Here is a 14,111-nt window from a genome sequence, read left to right as displayed (position 1 = left end):
AACAGACTACTCATATTCCTGCTTATGTGACATACTTGTTTTTGTTTTGTTTTGTTTTTTTGAGACAGCTTCTTGCTCTGTCACCCAGGCTGGAGTGTAGTGGCATGATCATGGCTCACTGCAACCTCTACCTCCTGGGCTTAAGCAGTCCTCCCATTTCAGCCCCTCAAGTATGTGGGACTACAGGCAAGTGCCCTCATGTCCGGCTAATTTTTTAAATTTTTTGTAGAGACGAGATTTCGCTGTGTGACCTAGGCTGATCTTGGTCTCCTTGGGCTCAAGTGATCCTCCTACCTCAGCATCCCAAAGTGCTGGGGTTATAGGCATGAGCCACCATGCCAGGCCTGACATACTTGTTTAATTAAGAGAAGTAGGCAACAAAATAACTTATTAATATAATACATAGATGATTGAAGGGAATTTGTTTTGTTGACTGCTCTATTTTTATACTGCCTAATAAAAGCATCTGGGATCTTTGTTTAATAACTTATTTTTTCTTTTTCAGAGCTATCCATTTTTTATTTTGCCCTTAAAAAAATTCCTTTTTTTTTTTTTTTTTTTTTGCCACAAGCATTTAACTGTGAGGTATTTAGGAAAACCTAGTTTTTTTTTTCTTCTAGAAACTTTTTGTCTCTGGGTGCTTTCCAGTTACTTTGTGCCATTTAGAGCAATGCCAGGCATTCATTTAATATTTTCATAAACATGGCTTTTTTTTCATATTTAAACATTTGAACTTTATTTTGATGAGTGAAGGGTTAAAAGAGATACACTACCTTTCTCCTTATTTAAGACCTCGCCTCTCTCACCCAGAAAATAATCATTAATACTGTATTTAAAATTCTGAACATCCTGTTTGAGGCAAAATATTTGCAGAGTACTGCTTCTTTTGTATGTTTTTCCAGAGATACTCTGTATATGCAAGCATGATTATTGTCTCTTATCTGCATAGGAATAGATATTAAAAGTATTATTACTGTAATATATTCATCATATTCTTAACTTTATGTTTAGACCCCTCGGAGACAGAAAAAACTCTTTTGCCGCTACCATGATGGAAACCGTAATCCTAAATTTATTCTGGCTCCAGCTAAACAGGAGGATGAATGGGACAAGCCTCGTATTATTCGCTTCCATGATATTATTTCTGATGCAGAAATTGAAATCGTCAAAGACCTAGCAAAACCAAGGGTAAATAATGTTTTCTTTCTTTCTCCTCAATTTACTGTACCTTTGTATCAATTTTTCTTTGTAAAAAAATAGGATAATTGATATACGAATAATGCCACAGATTTTTTAAAGATATTTTGCCTCAGCATAATGGAGTTACTAATGATGCTGTGTTTATGCCAGTTTTTCCATTTGTTATCAACACAAGTAATGTACCCTTAACTGGGTTTTAAGCACTGAATTATGAAAATTATTGTGAGATTTTTATTCACCATTAACAAATTTGTGTTTCACTGTCTTCCTGATAAACTTTTCTCTGTATTTTGGAGTCTTTTAATCTCAGAGGCTACTCAAAGCCCAGCTTTTTCACTTCTGTATTTTTACTGAAAGAATACCGTGGAAGTATTTTTATTCCCTTTTAGGCACATTGTTACTATTATAAAAAGATATAATTGGGCACAAGTATTATGTTAATTTGAAATGGTGATAGTTTTCTGACTTTAACCCACAGAATTTATCTTAAAAAGAAAAAGAATCTAACGTAAACCCAATCTATAAGCTTAGTGTTGAGCATAAAAACTCTTTAGTGAGAATGTGGAAAAGACTACCCTTTATGCTCTTGCCTTTTCCCCCATCAGCTTGTTCTTAAAACATATTTGGTCTTCTTGATAGTAAAATACAAGCTGCCATCACTTTCATAAAGAGATTGTTGAATAAATTCTAGGCATGCTTTGCTGTCTTACACAGGAGTTGGCAGATTTTTTCCATAAAGGTCAATATTAGATATTTTTTAGGCTTTGGAGGCCATATGATCTCTGTCATGACTATTTAGTTCTGCCATTATAGTGCAAAAGCAGCCAAAGAAAATATGTAAATGAAAGAGTGTGGCTATATTACAGTAAAATTTTATTTCCAGTGGCAGGTAGCAGGCTGAATTTGGTCTGTGGCCATAGTTTGTTGACCCTTATTATATCAAAGGTTTGAATTATCTGGATATCTATACTACAAAATGAAGTTAGAATTTCTTTTAGAGTTTTTCTGCTTCTCCAAATTGGTGGTTTTTTTTTTTTTTGGCCAAAGATTACATTATAAATGCAAAAGACTGGTCTAACATTAATATATATTATTGGTGCCATCCAAGGTAATTAATTCATTTCAACTTGGAGATCAAGTTATATTCTGGAGATTCCTCAATTTGGATTGTTTTTGATCAATAAATTTAATGGCAATAAAATTTCATGCTCTCACAACCTCAGAATCATCGTTCCATTAAAAAAAATTGAAATTATTATCTAGGCGGTCACCTCTTTCTTGCTGTTTTTAACATTTATGAGCTCTTTTCCTCTGCCTTTGTTCTCAGTCCAAGATTATTTCACTGTATATGTTAATGAGAGTGGCTATCTTGAAGGGACAAAAGATTGACCTTAAAATGAATTTTAAACATTAACCTGTGCAAACAGTTCCATCACTAAAAAAAATTAAAGTCAAAGGTTTTGGAATGGATCATTAATTGCAAATAGGCATTCTTCTTTTTTTCCCCTTCTCTCCCCACCCCCAGATGGCTATTTTAACTGTAAATTAGACTTCAAATTTTAGATATGTCTCTTTTTCTTACTGTCATGTCCTTTCACCATTGAAAGAAATTTAATTTCCAATCTCTTTTGTTTGTATGTCCTCCATCTATGCAAAACAAAAAATTGAAGAAAAAAAAAAAACCCCAAAAACCTAAAAAACTAACTGGCTTTCAAGGCTCAGCACAAGGTGACTGGAAGTGTATGGAGTTATTTTCTCTTTTTAGCCTCCTTTGTAAAAACCCTGGAATTCTGACTGGTTGGGTAAATGTGATTCAGTTTTTTGTTTTGTAATGCAACTATTTTGATGGTTGGCTTCACAGCTGAGGCGAGCCACCATTTCAAACCCAATAACAGGAGACTTGGAGACGGTACATTACAGAATTAGCAAAAGGTAAGAGATGTGTATGCTGCATATTTTGCCCTCTAATGAGTGTTTTATACATCTTACAGGAATTATTCATTTAAGGAAAGTGGGTCATTTTCAGTCACCAGCTCAAGTCACCACCCTGTATATAAACAGGATAACGCATGGATAAACTGCTTTGTGTTTCACAGGTCTTTCTCCTTCACTAGAAGTTCTGTTTTTAACCTTTAATTGGTATGTTATTTTTAGGGAATTAATATGCTTTTTATCTTTCTTCAGATCAGGTGTCAAATATCCAGGAAGTGGCCTGATACTTGTTTTCTTTTTCCCTTTTGTTGCCAAAGGGGGAAATAAAGCAGCAGCCTCCTGAATCTGGGAGTAGTAGTCTTCACCTATGCAGTTTTCTCATATTCATAAATGCTGCGGTGATTCATATCCTCCTTCATGGTGATTACGTTGGCATTTGTTCATACATCTTGTAAAATAACATTGTCATTATGTAGTAATCTGTATTCCTCCTGTTTGAGTTTTTTATTTAAAAAAATTCGCTGACTCAAAAGTTGGCAGTAGGAAGAACAGAGTTACGCTTCTGAGCTCTGTCTTCCAAAAATTAGTTGTAAACTTAGTTGCCTTTTACTTTGCCAGAGAGATTTAAAAACAGTTTTATCTCAGTGAGAGGTTTGAAAAATGAATTTAAGGAGTCTACTATTTTTTTTCAAAATATTTAAATAACTTCTAGATCTGAGAAAGTTTCTGTGAAACCCAGTGCTATAAATCATTTACATACAGCTTCAAATGATTTTTTGTTTAAAAAAAGTGAAAGGACAATAAATCTACAACAAAAATCTGTCAACTCATTTTCTCTTGATTTGGAAGTGGCTGTTCTTACTGCCACTTTTCTAAATGTTTTTGTGGATTCGAGACCATTACCCACCATCCAGACCAATCTGAACCCTTCCAATCACCTGTGGCTTGGCAAAACAAAACAAACAAAAAGCCCAAAATTGCCTGCTACTGGAGTAAGTCCTTGTCCTTTCTCTTTTTTTGTAGCTGAGCCGAGCTACAGTACATGACCCTGAGACTGGAAAATTGACCACAGCACAGTACAGAGTATCTAAGAGGTAAGGGAGTAATGGAGAGAACTTTAGTCATATTTGGACCATTTCTTTCTTGGGAATCTAATTTTCTGAAAACTCATGATATAGTTTCTAAGACCTAGGTGGTTAGGCATAGATGTTTGATAATATCTGTGCTGGAGTTTTCATGACGGACTAATAAACATGGTTATGGGGCAGTTAATAGGGGTTTTCCAAAGTAACATTAACTTACATAATGTCTGTTGAGGCTCCCCAAACTTTGATAAGTGAAATGTGTTCTCATATTGAACTAAGAGAAGTTCCCAAATTCCCTTCATTAAACAAGGCCTCTTTTGGACTCTGCAGTAAAGCAGGGGTTTAAAAATCTCAGGGTCACCTAGTAGCTGCAGGTATTGCGTAAGTAAGTGCCTTTATAACAAAGCCTTTGCAAGTTCCTTGCTTTTAACAGTGTTTAAAGATAATCTTATTAGGTTATTAGTTGATTGATCACTAAAATGTTTTTTAAAAAGAGCTCACTGTGTAACTTAGAGCTCACAGAATTGGGTGACAGTATTACAATAGAACTCCTTTTCCATCTACTTGTGAAGGTTTCTCGGCTCTCATGAAAATAGAAATATCTTTGTGCTGAATTTTTATTCTAACAAGTAGAATATTTATCCACAGACACAATAACTAATGAAATATAACAAACATAAGCCCCATCCATCTCATTAGGAACATCTTAATACATTTTCACTTGTTTATACTTGATAATGATTGTTTAGTCATGTTATTTAGATTAACAAATGTGAATAATAATTATAGTAACAATCCAGAAGATACTATCTTTAACACAGCCTTTTTATAGGTCTTTAACACAGGCTTTTTGTTTTAGGAAATTCATATTTTTGTTAATTGTATAAATATTTTTAATATAGATAAGTATAATGTGATAAATAAAAGATTTTCAGGCATAAAAATGTGTCACTGTAGGACAAGGTTTCTTAACCTTATCAATAGCACTATTGACATTTTGAGTCAGATAATTCTTGTTCTTGGGGGCTATCTTCAGCTTTGTAGGATGTTTAATAGCATCTGTGGTTCACTGGATGCCAGTAGCACCCTTCCTTAAGTTGTGACAATCAAAAATGTCTCCAGACATTGTCAAATGTCCCCTGATAGGTAAAATCCCCACCACTACCTCTAGTGACTCCACCCCTGTTGAGAATTAACTGTTCTAGGATAAGAATGGAATGAAACTATAACATCAAGAAAAAAAAAAAAGATGTAAAATGTCCAAGTATTAAAAAATATTTTGTTCACATATTTTAAGTGGATGATGGTGGATATCAAATCATTATGGTATTTAGATTCCAGTGGATACATTTAAAGTAATCATTTTTTAGAAATTACCAACGTTTTCAATATGACAATTCAATCATTCGAAACTAAATTATGAAAAAATTTAGTTGTCAACTAAAAAATTTATGCAAAGGCAAACATAGATTTTAACAGGCATTTTAGGAGGTACTCAGAGAAATTTTGAAGATTACTGCTGTCTTCAAAAAGAAAAAGATTAGGCTGGACCGAATGTGTTGATTCAGCATTTCCTTTTTCTTTTTTGGGCAGGACCATATGCCTTTTATATATTAACCTTAAACGTTACTATACACGTCTTGGTTTCTTGTCTCTGCTGTATAACACCACCTGCCCTTTTGCCCCAGTAAGAGAGAAAAATTTTTTTTCTTGCCTATCACTAGCTTCATAGCTGAGACCCCTATAACAAAAGACAGATTAACAAGAGAAAATCATACAAATTTATTTAATACAAAATTTACTTGACAAGAAGCCTTTAGAAATGAAGACCGCAGCCTGAGCAACATGTTAAAACCCCAACTCTACAAAAAATACAAAAAAAATTAGCCAGGTGTGGTGGCATGTACCTGTAGACCCAGTTACTTGGGAGGCTGAGGTGGGAGGATCACCTGAGCCTGAGGAGGTTGAGGCTACAGAGAGCCACAGTGAGCCATGAGCATGCCACTGCACTCCAGCCAGGGTGACAGAGTAAGATCCTGTCTCAAAAAAAAAAAGAGAAAAGAAATAGAAAAAAATGAGAACCCAAAGAAACAGGGAAACCTGTGTATTTTTATGCTAGGTTTGATGAGTGGATAGTCATACAGAAGTATGATGAACAAAGGGGATATGATCTAATGGTAATAAACTGGGGGAAACTTAGCAAAGCCTGTTTGTTCACATACCTCTTGGTATCTCTGTGTCTCAGGATAAGGATGTTCATTTCTTCCAGGTAGAGAGAGGATACTTCTGGATTGAAAGTCTTATACTACTTTAGAGGAAGGTCAGAGAATTCTTTTTTTTTTTTTTTGGGGGGGGGATGGAGTCTTGCTCTGTCGCCCCCAGGCTGGAGTGCAGTGGCGCAATCTTGGCTCACTGCAAGCTCCGCCTCCTGGGTTCATGCCATTCTTCTGCCTCAGCCTCCTGAGTACCTGGGACTACAGGCGCCCGCTGCTGCCCGGCTAATTTTTTGTATTTTTAGTAGAGATGGGTTTCACCGTGTTAGCCAGGATGGTCTCGATCTCCTGACCTCGTGACCCGCCTGCCTCGGCCTCCCAAAGTGCTGGGATTACAAGCATGAGCCCGTGCCTGGCCTAGACAATTCTTTTATAGCCTGCTTAAGGGGAAAAGAGTGGGAGAAGGTCAGAGAGACCTGCTTCTGCTCAAATGCTACAGTGCCATATTTTGGGGTTGAGTGTCCTGAACCCCATTAGAAGACATGAAGAAAATTTAAATTTGCCATAATATGATTTTCATTTTAATCACAGGAGCAATTATCCTTAAGGAACACTAATAGATAGTAAGGATTTGCAGAAACTAATTTGCATAGACATGTTTTGAGATATGATTTACAGTGCTTCTGAACATTGCAATTAACCCGATTTTTACATTAAGCTAATTTTCCATTCTATTACAGAACCTAATTCATATCTACAAAAAACCCCTTCTTTAAAAAAAATAAAAATTAAACTGTTAACAGATTTTATCAGATTATTGCATGGTTTTACACATTTTTTGTCATAAAGTTTGTAAATAGCTAAATCCTCTAGATTTGCATGCTTCTAGGAAGCATATAAAACAAAATTACGGCCAGGAGTGGTGGCTCACGCCTGTAATCCCAGCACTTTGGGAGGCCAAGGTGGGTGGATCACAAGGTCAGGAGATCAAGACCATCCTCACAAACATGGTAAAACCCCATCTCTACTAAAAATACAAAAATTAGCTGGGTGTGGTGGCGCGCCTGTAATCCCAGCTACTCGGGAGGCTGAGGCAGGAGAATGGCTTGAACCCGGGAGGTAGAGATTGCAGTGAGCCGAGATCATGCCACTGCACTCCAGCCTGGCGACAGAGAGAGATCCATCTCAAAAAAAAAAAAAAAAAAATTCATGAATTCGATGTTTTGGAAGACTGTTTGTTTTTGGAAATTTTCTATGTATGCAATGACCCTTTTGAAGAAATATCCAGCCCACAGTCAATGGACTGTTGCCAATAAATCAAAATAAATCACTGTAGGAAAGTGATCTATACACTTAAAAAAAAAAACTAAATATTGCTAAACATTTCAAACCTATTTTTTAAATATTCTAACTTTGTAGCTCTTAAGCAGTTTTATTGGATTTTTGAGAAAGGTACAACCATACTTACATATTATAAATGATAGCAGAAGGTATTTAGCTACTAGCATTAGAAGGCCGGGCATGGTGGCTCATGCCTGTAATATCAGCACTTTGGGAGGCTGAGGTGAGAGGATGGTTTGAGCCCAGGAGCTTGAGACCAGCCTGGATAGTATAGCTAGACCTTGTCTCTATTTACAAAAAATTAAGAAAAAAATTAGCTGAGAGTGATGGTGCACGTCTGTAGTCCCAGCTACCCAGGAGGCTTAGGTGGGTAGATCACTTGAGCCTGGGAAGCAGAGATTGCAGTGAGCTGAGATTGCACCACTGCACTCCAGGCTGGGTGACAGAGCAAAAACTCTGTCTCAAAAAAAAAAAAAAAAAAAAAAAAGGCCATCTCAGTTGCCAAATGGAAGAAAATTCGTGTTCTGATGTCAGTTAATTTAATCCCTTGTAGCCTGGGAACATCTGTATTTTGAATGATTTAGAAAGGAATTTCAAATATCTGTATTTAGAGAACTGTCTAAGCGATGACATCACTTTCAGTGGAAGTAATAATTTGTTCCAGCATTTCAGCAAATAGAATTTTTTTGGCAAAATATTTTTGGAACTCCTTTAGTATTTAAAAAACATAAAACAGGCGGGGCATGGTGGCTCACGCCTGTAATCCTAGCACTTTGGGAGGCCCAGGCGGGCAGATCCCGAGGTCAGGAGATCGAGACCGTTCTGGCTAACACAGTGAAACCCCATCTCTACTAAAAATACAAAAAAATTAGCCGGGCATGGTGGCGGGTGCCTGTGGTCCCAACTACTGGGGAGGCTGAGGCAGGAGAACGGCAGGAACCCAGGAGGCAGAGCTTGCAGTGAGCTGAAATTGCGCCACTGCACTCCAGCCTGGGCAACAGAGCGAGACTCAAAAAACAAACAAACCCATAAAACAAAAAAGGCTTTTTTTTTTTTAAGAGGCAGGGTCTTGCTCTGTCATCTAGGCCTAAGTCCAGTGGCATGATCATAGCTCACTGCTCCTTCCAACTCCTGGGCAGAAGTGATCTTCCTACCTCAGTCTCCCGAGTAGCTGGGAATACAGGTGCTCACCACCATGCTTGGATAATTTTTAATTTTTTATTTTGTAGAGACAGGGTTTCACTATATTGCCTAGGCTGGTCTCAAACTCCCGGGCTCAAGTGATCCTCCCAGAGTATTGGTATTACAGGCGCGAGCCATTGCATCCAGCCAAAAAAGGCTTTACTTATGTTACTGACAATCTGTTAACTTTTGGCAAGTCATCTCTGTCTTTTCCACTATTAAAAAGCAAATAAAGGCCGGGCACGGTGGCTCACGCCTGTAATCCCAGCACTTTGGGAGGCCGAGGCGGGCGGATCACGAGGTCAGGAGATCGAGACCATCCCGGCTAAAACGGTGAAACCTCGTCTCTACTAAAAATACAAAAAATTAGCCGGGCGTAGTGGCGGGCGCCTGTAGTCCCAGCTACTTGGGAGGCTGAGGCAGGAGAATGGCGTGAACCCGGGAGGCGGAGCTTGCAGTGAGCCGAGATCCCGCCACTGCACTCCAGCCTGGGCGACAGAGCGAGACTCCGTCTCAAAAAAAAAAAAAAAAAAAAAAGCAAATAAAAACCCTAAGAATTTACTACAGCTTGTAAATGAAAAAGCTAATAATTTTGGGTAGATCAGAGAAATGGAATTTGAAGTTTTTGAAATGTAAACATTCAGTTTTGTGCTCTGAAAAGATAGTTAAGTGAACTCATAAAGTCTAGTTAAAGTAATATAAATAATGACCTATGCAAATAAACAATAATCTGTTTAGAGTGGTAGAAAAGCTTTTTTGATTCTGGTGGGAAAGTGATTTTCATTTTTTTACTCTGAAGTGATGATTTCCTACAATACGGTATTTATGATATCATGAATGTAACATGATATATATGTATATGTGTGTATTTATTTATTTATTTTATTTTACTTTATTTTCTTTCGGAGACAGGGTCTCACTCTGTCGCCCAGGCTGGAGTGCAGTGGCACAGTCATGGCTCACTACAGCCTCCACCTCCCAGGCTCAAGCAATCCTCCCACCTCAGCCTCCTGAGTAACTGGGGCTACGGGTGCACACCACCATGCCCAGCTAAGTTTTGTATTTTTGTAGAGATGCGGTTTTGCTTTGTTGCCCAGGCTGGTCTTGAACTCCTGGGCTCAAGTGATCATCTCACCTTGGCCTCCCAAAGTGCTGGGATTACAGGCATGAGCCACCATGTCTGGCCTTAAATATATCATAAATATGTTATTTAGGCTTAAGATTTTGTTTACCCTTGTTACTAAGGAGCAAATTAGTATTAAAGTATAATATATATAAACAAATACAAAAAGTTTTGAGTGGTTCAGCTTTTTTATTTTTTTTAATGGCATAACTTTTAACAACACTGCTCTGTAATGGGTTGAACTGTGGTACTCAGACTGAGATAACTGAAATGAGTGGATGTATAGTGTTATTGCATAATTATCCCACTATGAAGCAAAGGGACTGGATAAATTCCCAGTCTAGATTATTAGCCTTTGTTAACCATCAAGCACCTAGAGAAGAATTATTGGAAATTTTGTCCTCTGTAACTGGCACTTTGGGGTGTGACTTATCTTTTGCCTTTGTAAAAAAAAAAAAAAAAAAATATATATATATATATATATATATATATATATATATATATATATATAGTGGTTTTCGATTAGCTAATCATAGAATATTCTTATGTGTGTGTCGGGTTAGAAGAAGGTAGTGATCATGTTCAAATTACATTACTGACATTTTTCTTTGGAGCTTTCCTTACTCACATATTAGAAGTGTAGTTTTGCAGTGTGAGAATGTTGCTCCCTTACTCTGCGCATTCTAGTGGTATTTTACAAAATCATGAAGTTTTTTTTTTTTTTTTTTAACAGCGGAAACTCAGTAGAAAGGAAAAAAGCATAGAAATGTTACTCTAATTGAATGCACAGCTTTGGCTTCAGGTCCTGTCATTAAGGCCAAAAGGAACATACTTTGGGCTATTTAATTTTTAATGGAAAAAAAAGGACACATATAAAGTTATCTGAAGAAATAGTTCTTTTTTCTCCTGGCACTAAATTGTGTTTTATGGGGAAAAACACTGTATAATTAGTTGACATTTTCAATTACAGTTATACAAAAGATAAATGATCTTCAAATGATTTTTCCTATTAAATGCTATAACATTAAAAAAAAATCCCAACTCAGTTAAAGCACTGGGTACTAGAAAGCAAAACCTCTGGATTTCTTATGATTTAATCTAACACAGGAATAAGACTTCCAGGTCCTAGAAGAATGGACAGTTAACATACATTACAGTATAATGGTCTCCACTGAATTTTAGTAATGTTACAATGTAAATTCAGAGCTGAGTTTTTAGATAACCTATTATGTCTATAATAATGTCACTGAAGACAGATTAGCAGTAATTGTTAAGGATGGGATCCAGATGAGTAACTTGAAGATAGTTCTTAAACTAAGGAAAGTCTTAATGTATTTTGGGCCAGGTGTGACGGCTCACACCTGTAATTCCAGCACTTTGGGAGGTCAAGGCAGGTAGATTGCTTGAGCTCAGGAGTTTGAGACCAGCCTGGGCAACATGGTGAAACCTCATCTCTACAAAAAAATACAAAAATTAGCCGGGCGTGGTGGTGCATGCTTGTAGTTCCAGTTACTCCGGAGGCTGAGGTGGGAGGATTGCTTGAGCCCGGGAGGTAGAAGTTGCAGTGAGTCGAGATAGCGTCATTGCACTCTAGCCTGGGTGACAGAACCAGACTCCATCTCAAAAAAAAAGGGAGTGTTACTATATTTTGGAGGGGATTTTACATGAAAGTCAAATTAAATGAAATAACTTCCCATGCATCAGTAGAATTCATTTTCCTCTGTAGTGACTACAACAGAACTACAATTAAGATGACAGTTTGACAGTTATTTTTTTTTTAACCTACAATCAACATTGGTTTTAACTGCTAAGCCTCAAACCCTTCATCAAGATTTTTTTTTTTTTTTTTGAGACGGAGTTTTGCTCTTGTTGCCCAGACTCGAGTGCAATGGCGTGATCTCGGCTCACTGCAACCTCTGCCTCCTGGTTCAAGAGATTCTTCTGCCTCAGCCTCCCAAGTAGCTGAAGTTACAGGTGTGCACCTTCACACCTGGCTAATTTTGTATTTTTAGTGGAGGCGGGGTTTCACCACGTTGGTCAGGCTGGTCTCGAACTCCTGACCTCAAGAGATCCACCCGCCTCAGTCTCCCAAAGTGCTGGGATTACAGGCGTGAGCCACTGCGCCTGGCCGAGATATGTTATGATATAACAAGAAATGCAAATAAAAACTTAAAAAATTTAAACCATTAAAATATTTTTGCCTTGCTAAGATTGACAAAGAATAAAAGGATTGAAACTGGCAAGGGTTTTATGAAATGGGTAGGTGTAAATCATTGCAACTGTTTTGGAGGGAAATTTGACATTTATCAAAATGTAAAAGTCATTTAGCAATTCCACATCTAGGAATTTATCGTACAGAGATACTCCCACAAGTGTGCAAAGATATAGCATTTTGTTACAATATTGTTTATAACAGAGAAAAATTAGAAATAACCTATTATTTAACCAGTACTTAATTGGTAGACTTTCATGGCCATTCCTGGAATTAAAAGTTTGTGGTGGTGTTCTGTTGTTTTTTTAAGAGATGAGGTCTCATTCTGTTGCCAAGGCTGGAGTGTAGTGGTGTGGGCATAGCAACCTCGAACTCCTGGGCTCAAGCAATCCTCCTGCCTCAGCCTCTAAGTAGCTGAAACTATAAACCTGTGCCACCACACCTTGCTCATTAATTTATTTTAATTTTTTTTGTAAAGACGGGGTCTTGCTATGTTTCCCAGACTGGTCTTCAACTCCTATCCCCAAACGATCCTCCCACCTTGGCTTCCCAAAGTGCTGGGAGGTTATTAGATTTTTTTTTTTTTTCTAAAAGCAGTAGTTTAAAAGGCAGTGAGGGATGGGAATATAAAGTGGTGTCACTGCTGTGGAATATAGTCTGCCAGCTCCTCAAAAAGTTTAGGGTTACCATGTGATCTAGCAATTCTACTTCTAGGTACATACCCAAAATAATTTAAAGCAAGGAGTCATATACTTGCACACCTATGTTCATAACAGCATTTATTCACTATAGCCCAAGGTTAGAAGCAACCCAAATGTCCATCAACAAATGAATGGATAAACATGTGGTATATATAGATAATAGAATATTATTCAGCCTTAAAAAAGGAAATGAATTTCTGATACCCTGCTTATAACATGGATGAACCTTGAAAACATTATTTTGGCTGGGTGTGGTGGCTCACACCTGTAATCTCAGCACTTTGGGAGGCTGAGGCAGGCAGATTGCCTGAGTCCAGGAGTTTGACACCAGCCTGGTCACCATGATGAAACCCCGTCTCTACTAAAAATACAAAAAACTATGGTGGTGCATGCCTGTAGTCCCAGCTACTTGGGAGGCTGAGGTGGAAGAGTCACCTGAGCCCGGAAGGTTGAGGCTGCAGTGAGCCAAGATTGCATCACTGCACTCCAGCCTGGGCAACTGGAGTTGAGACCCTGTCTCCAAAAAAAAAAAAAAAAACCACACACACATGTTAAGTGAAATAAGCTAGAATTGACAAATATTATATGATTCTTCTTACAGGAGATACCTAGAATAGGCAAATCCATACAGACAGAACGTAGAATAGAGGATTACCAGGGGTTGTGAGGAGGGAGAGATGGGAGTTGTTGTTCAGTGGGTACAGTTTTCTGTTTGGTTTTGATGAAAAAGTTCTGGAAATGGATAGTGCTGATGGTTGTAAGGTATTGTAAATGTACTTAACACCAGTGAATTGTACACTTAATTAAAATGGTAAAATTGCTGTTATATATATTTTACCATAATTTAAAAAATAGTCTAAATGGCTAATTTTATGTTACATGTATTTTACCACAAATTTTTATTTTTTTAGAGATAGGTTCTCATTCTGGGGCCCAGGCTGGAGTGCAGTGGTGTGATTGTAGCTCCCTGCATCCTTGAACTCCTGGGCTTAAGTAATCCTTCCGCTTCAGCCTTATGAGTAGCTAGGACTACACAGGCACACGCTACCATGCCTGGCTAATTTTTAAACTTTTTTTGTGGAGACAGGGTCTTGCTAGGTTGCCGAGACTGGTCTTGAACTC

General features: G+C 37.6%; 1 protein-coding gene across 4 annotated transcripts in view; it reads left to right on the top strand.

Annotated features, from left to right (window-relative positions):
- Positions 1–14,111, top strand: part of P4HA1 (prolyl 4-hydroxylase subunit alpha 1) — an 89,650-nt gene that overhangs the window by 48,754 nt on the left and 26,785 nt on the right. For 2 of the 4 annotated variants that reach the window (NM_001142596.2, NM_000917.4), the window contains exons 8-9: positions 1,012–1,188; positions 4,156–4,226. In NM_001142596.2, coding sequence (NP_001136068.1) covers positions 1,012–1,188; positions 4,156–4,226 — 248 coding nt within the window. Of the gene's footprint in view, positions 1–1,011; positions 1,189–3,061; positions 3,133–4,155; positions 4,227–14,111 lie in introns of all 4 variants that reach the window. The other 2 variants (NM_001017962.3, NM_001142595.2) reach the window with 1 other exon arrangement.

This window comes from Homo sapiens, chromosome 10, assembly GCF_000001405.40.
Source record: "Homo sapiens chromosome 10, GRCh38.p14 Primary Assembly".
In the NCBI taxonomy this organism is placed as follows: Eukaryota; Metazoa; Chordata; class Mammalia; order Primates; family Hominidae; genus Homo; species Homo sapiens.
This window is presented reverse-complemented; position numbering and strand designations above follow the sequence as displayed.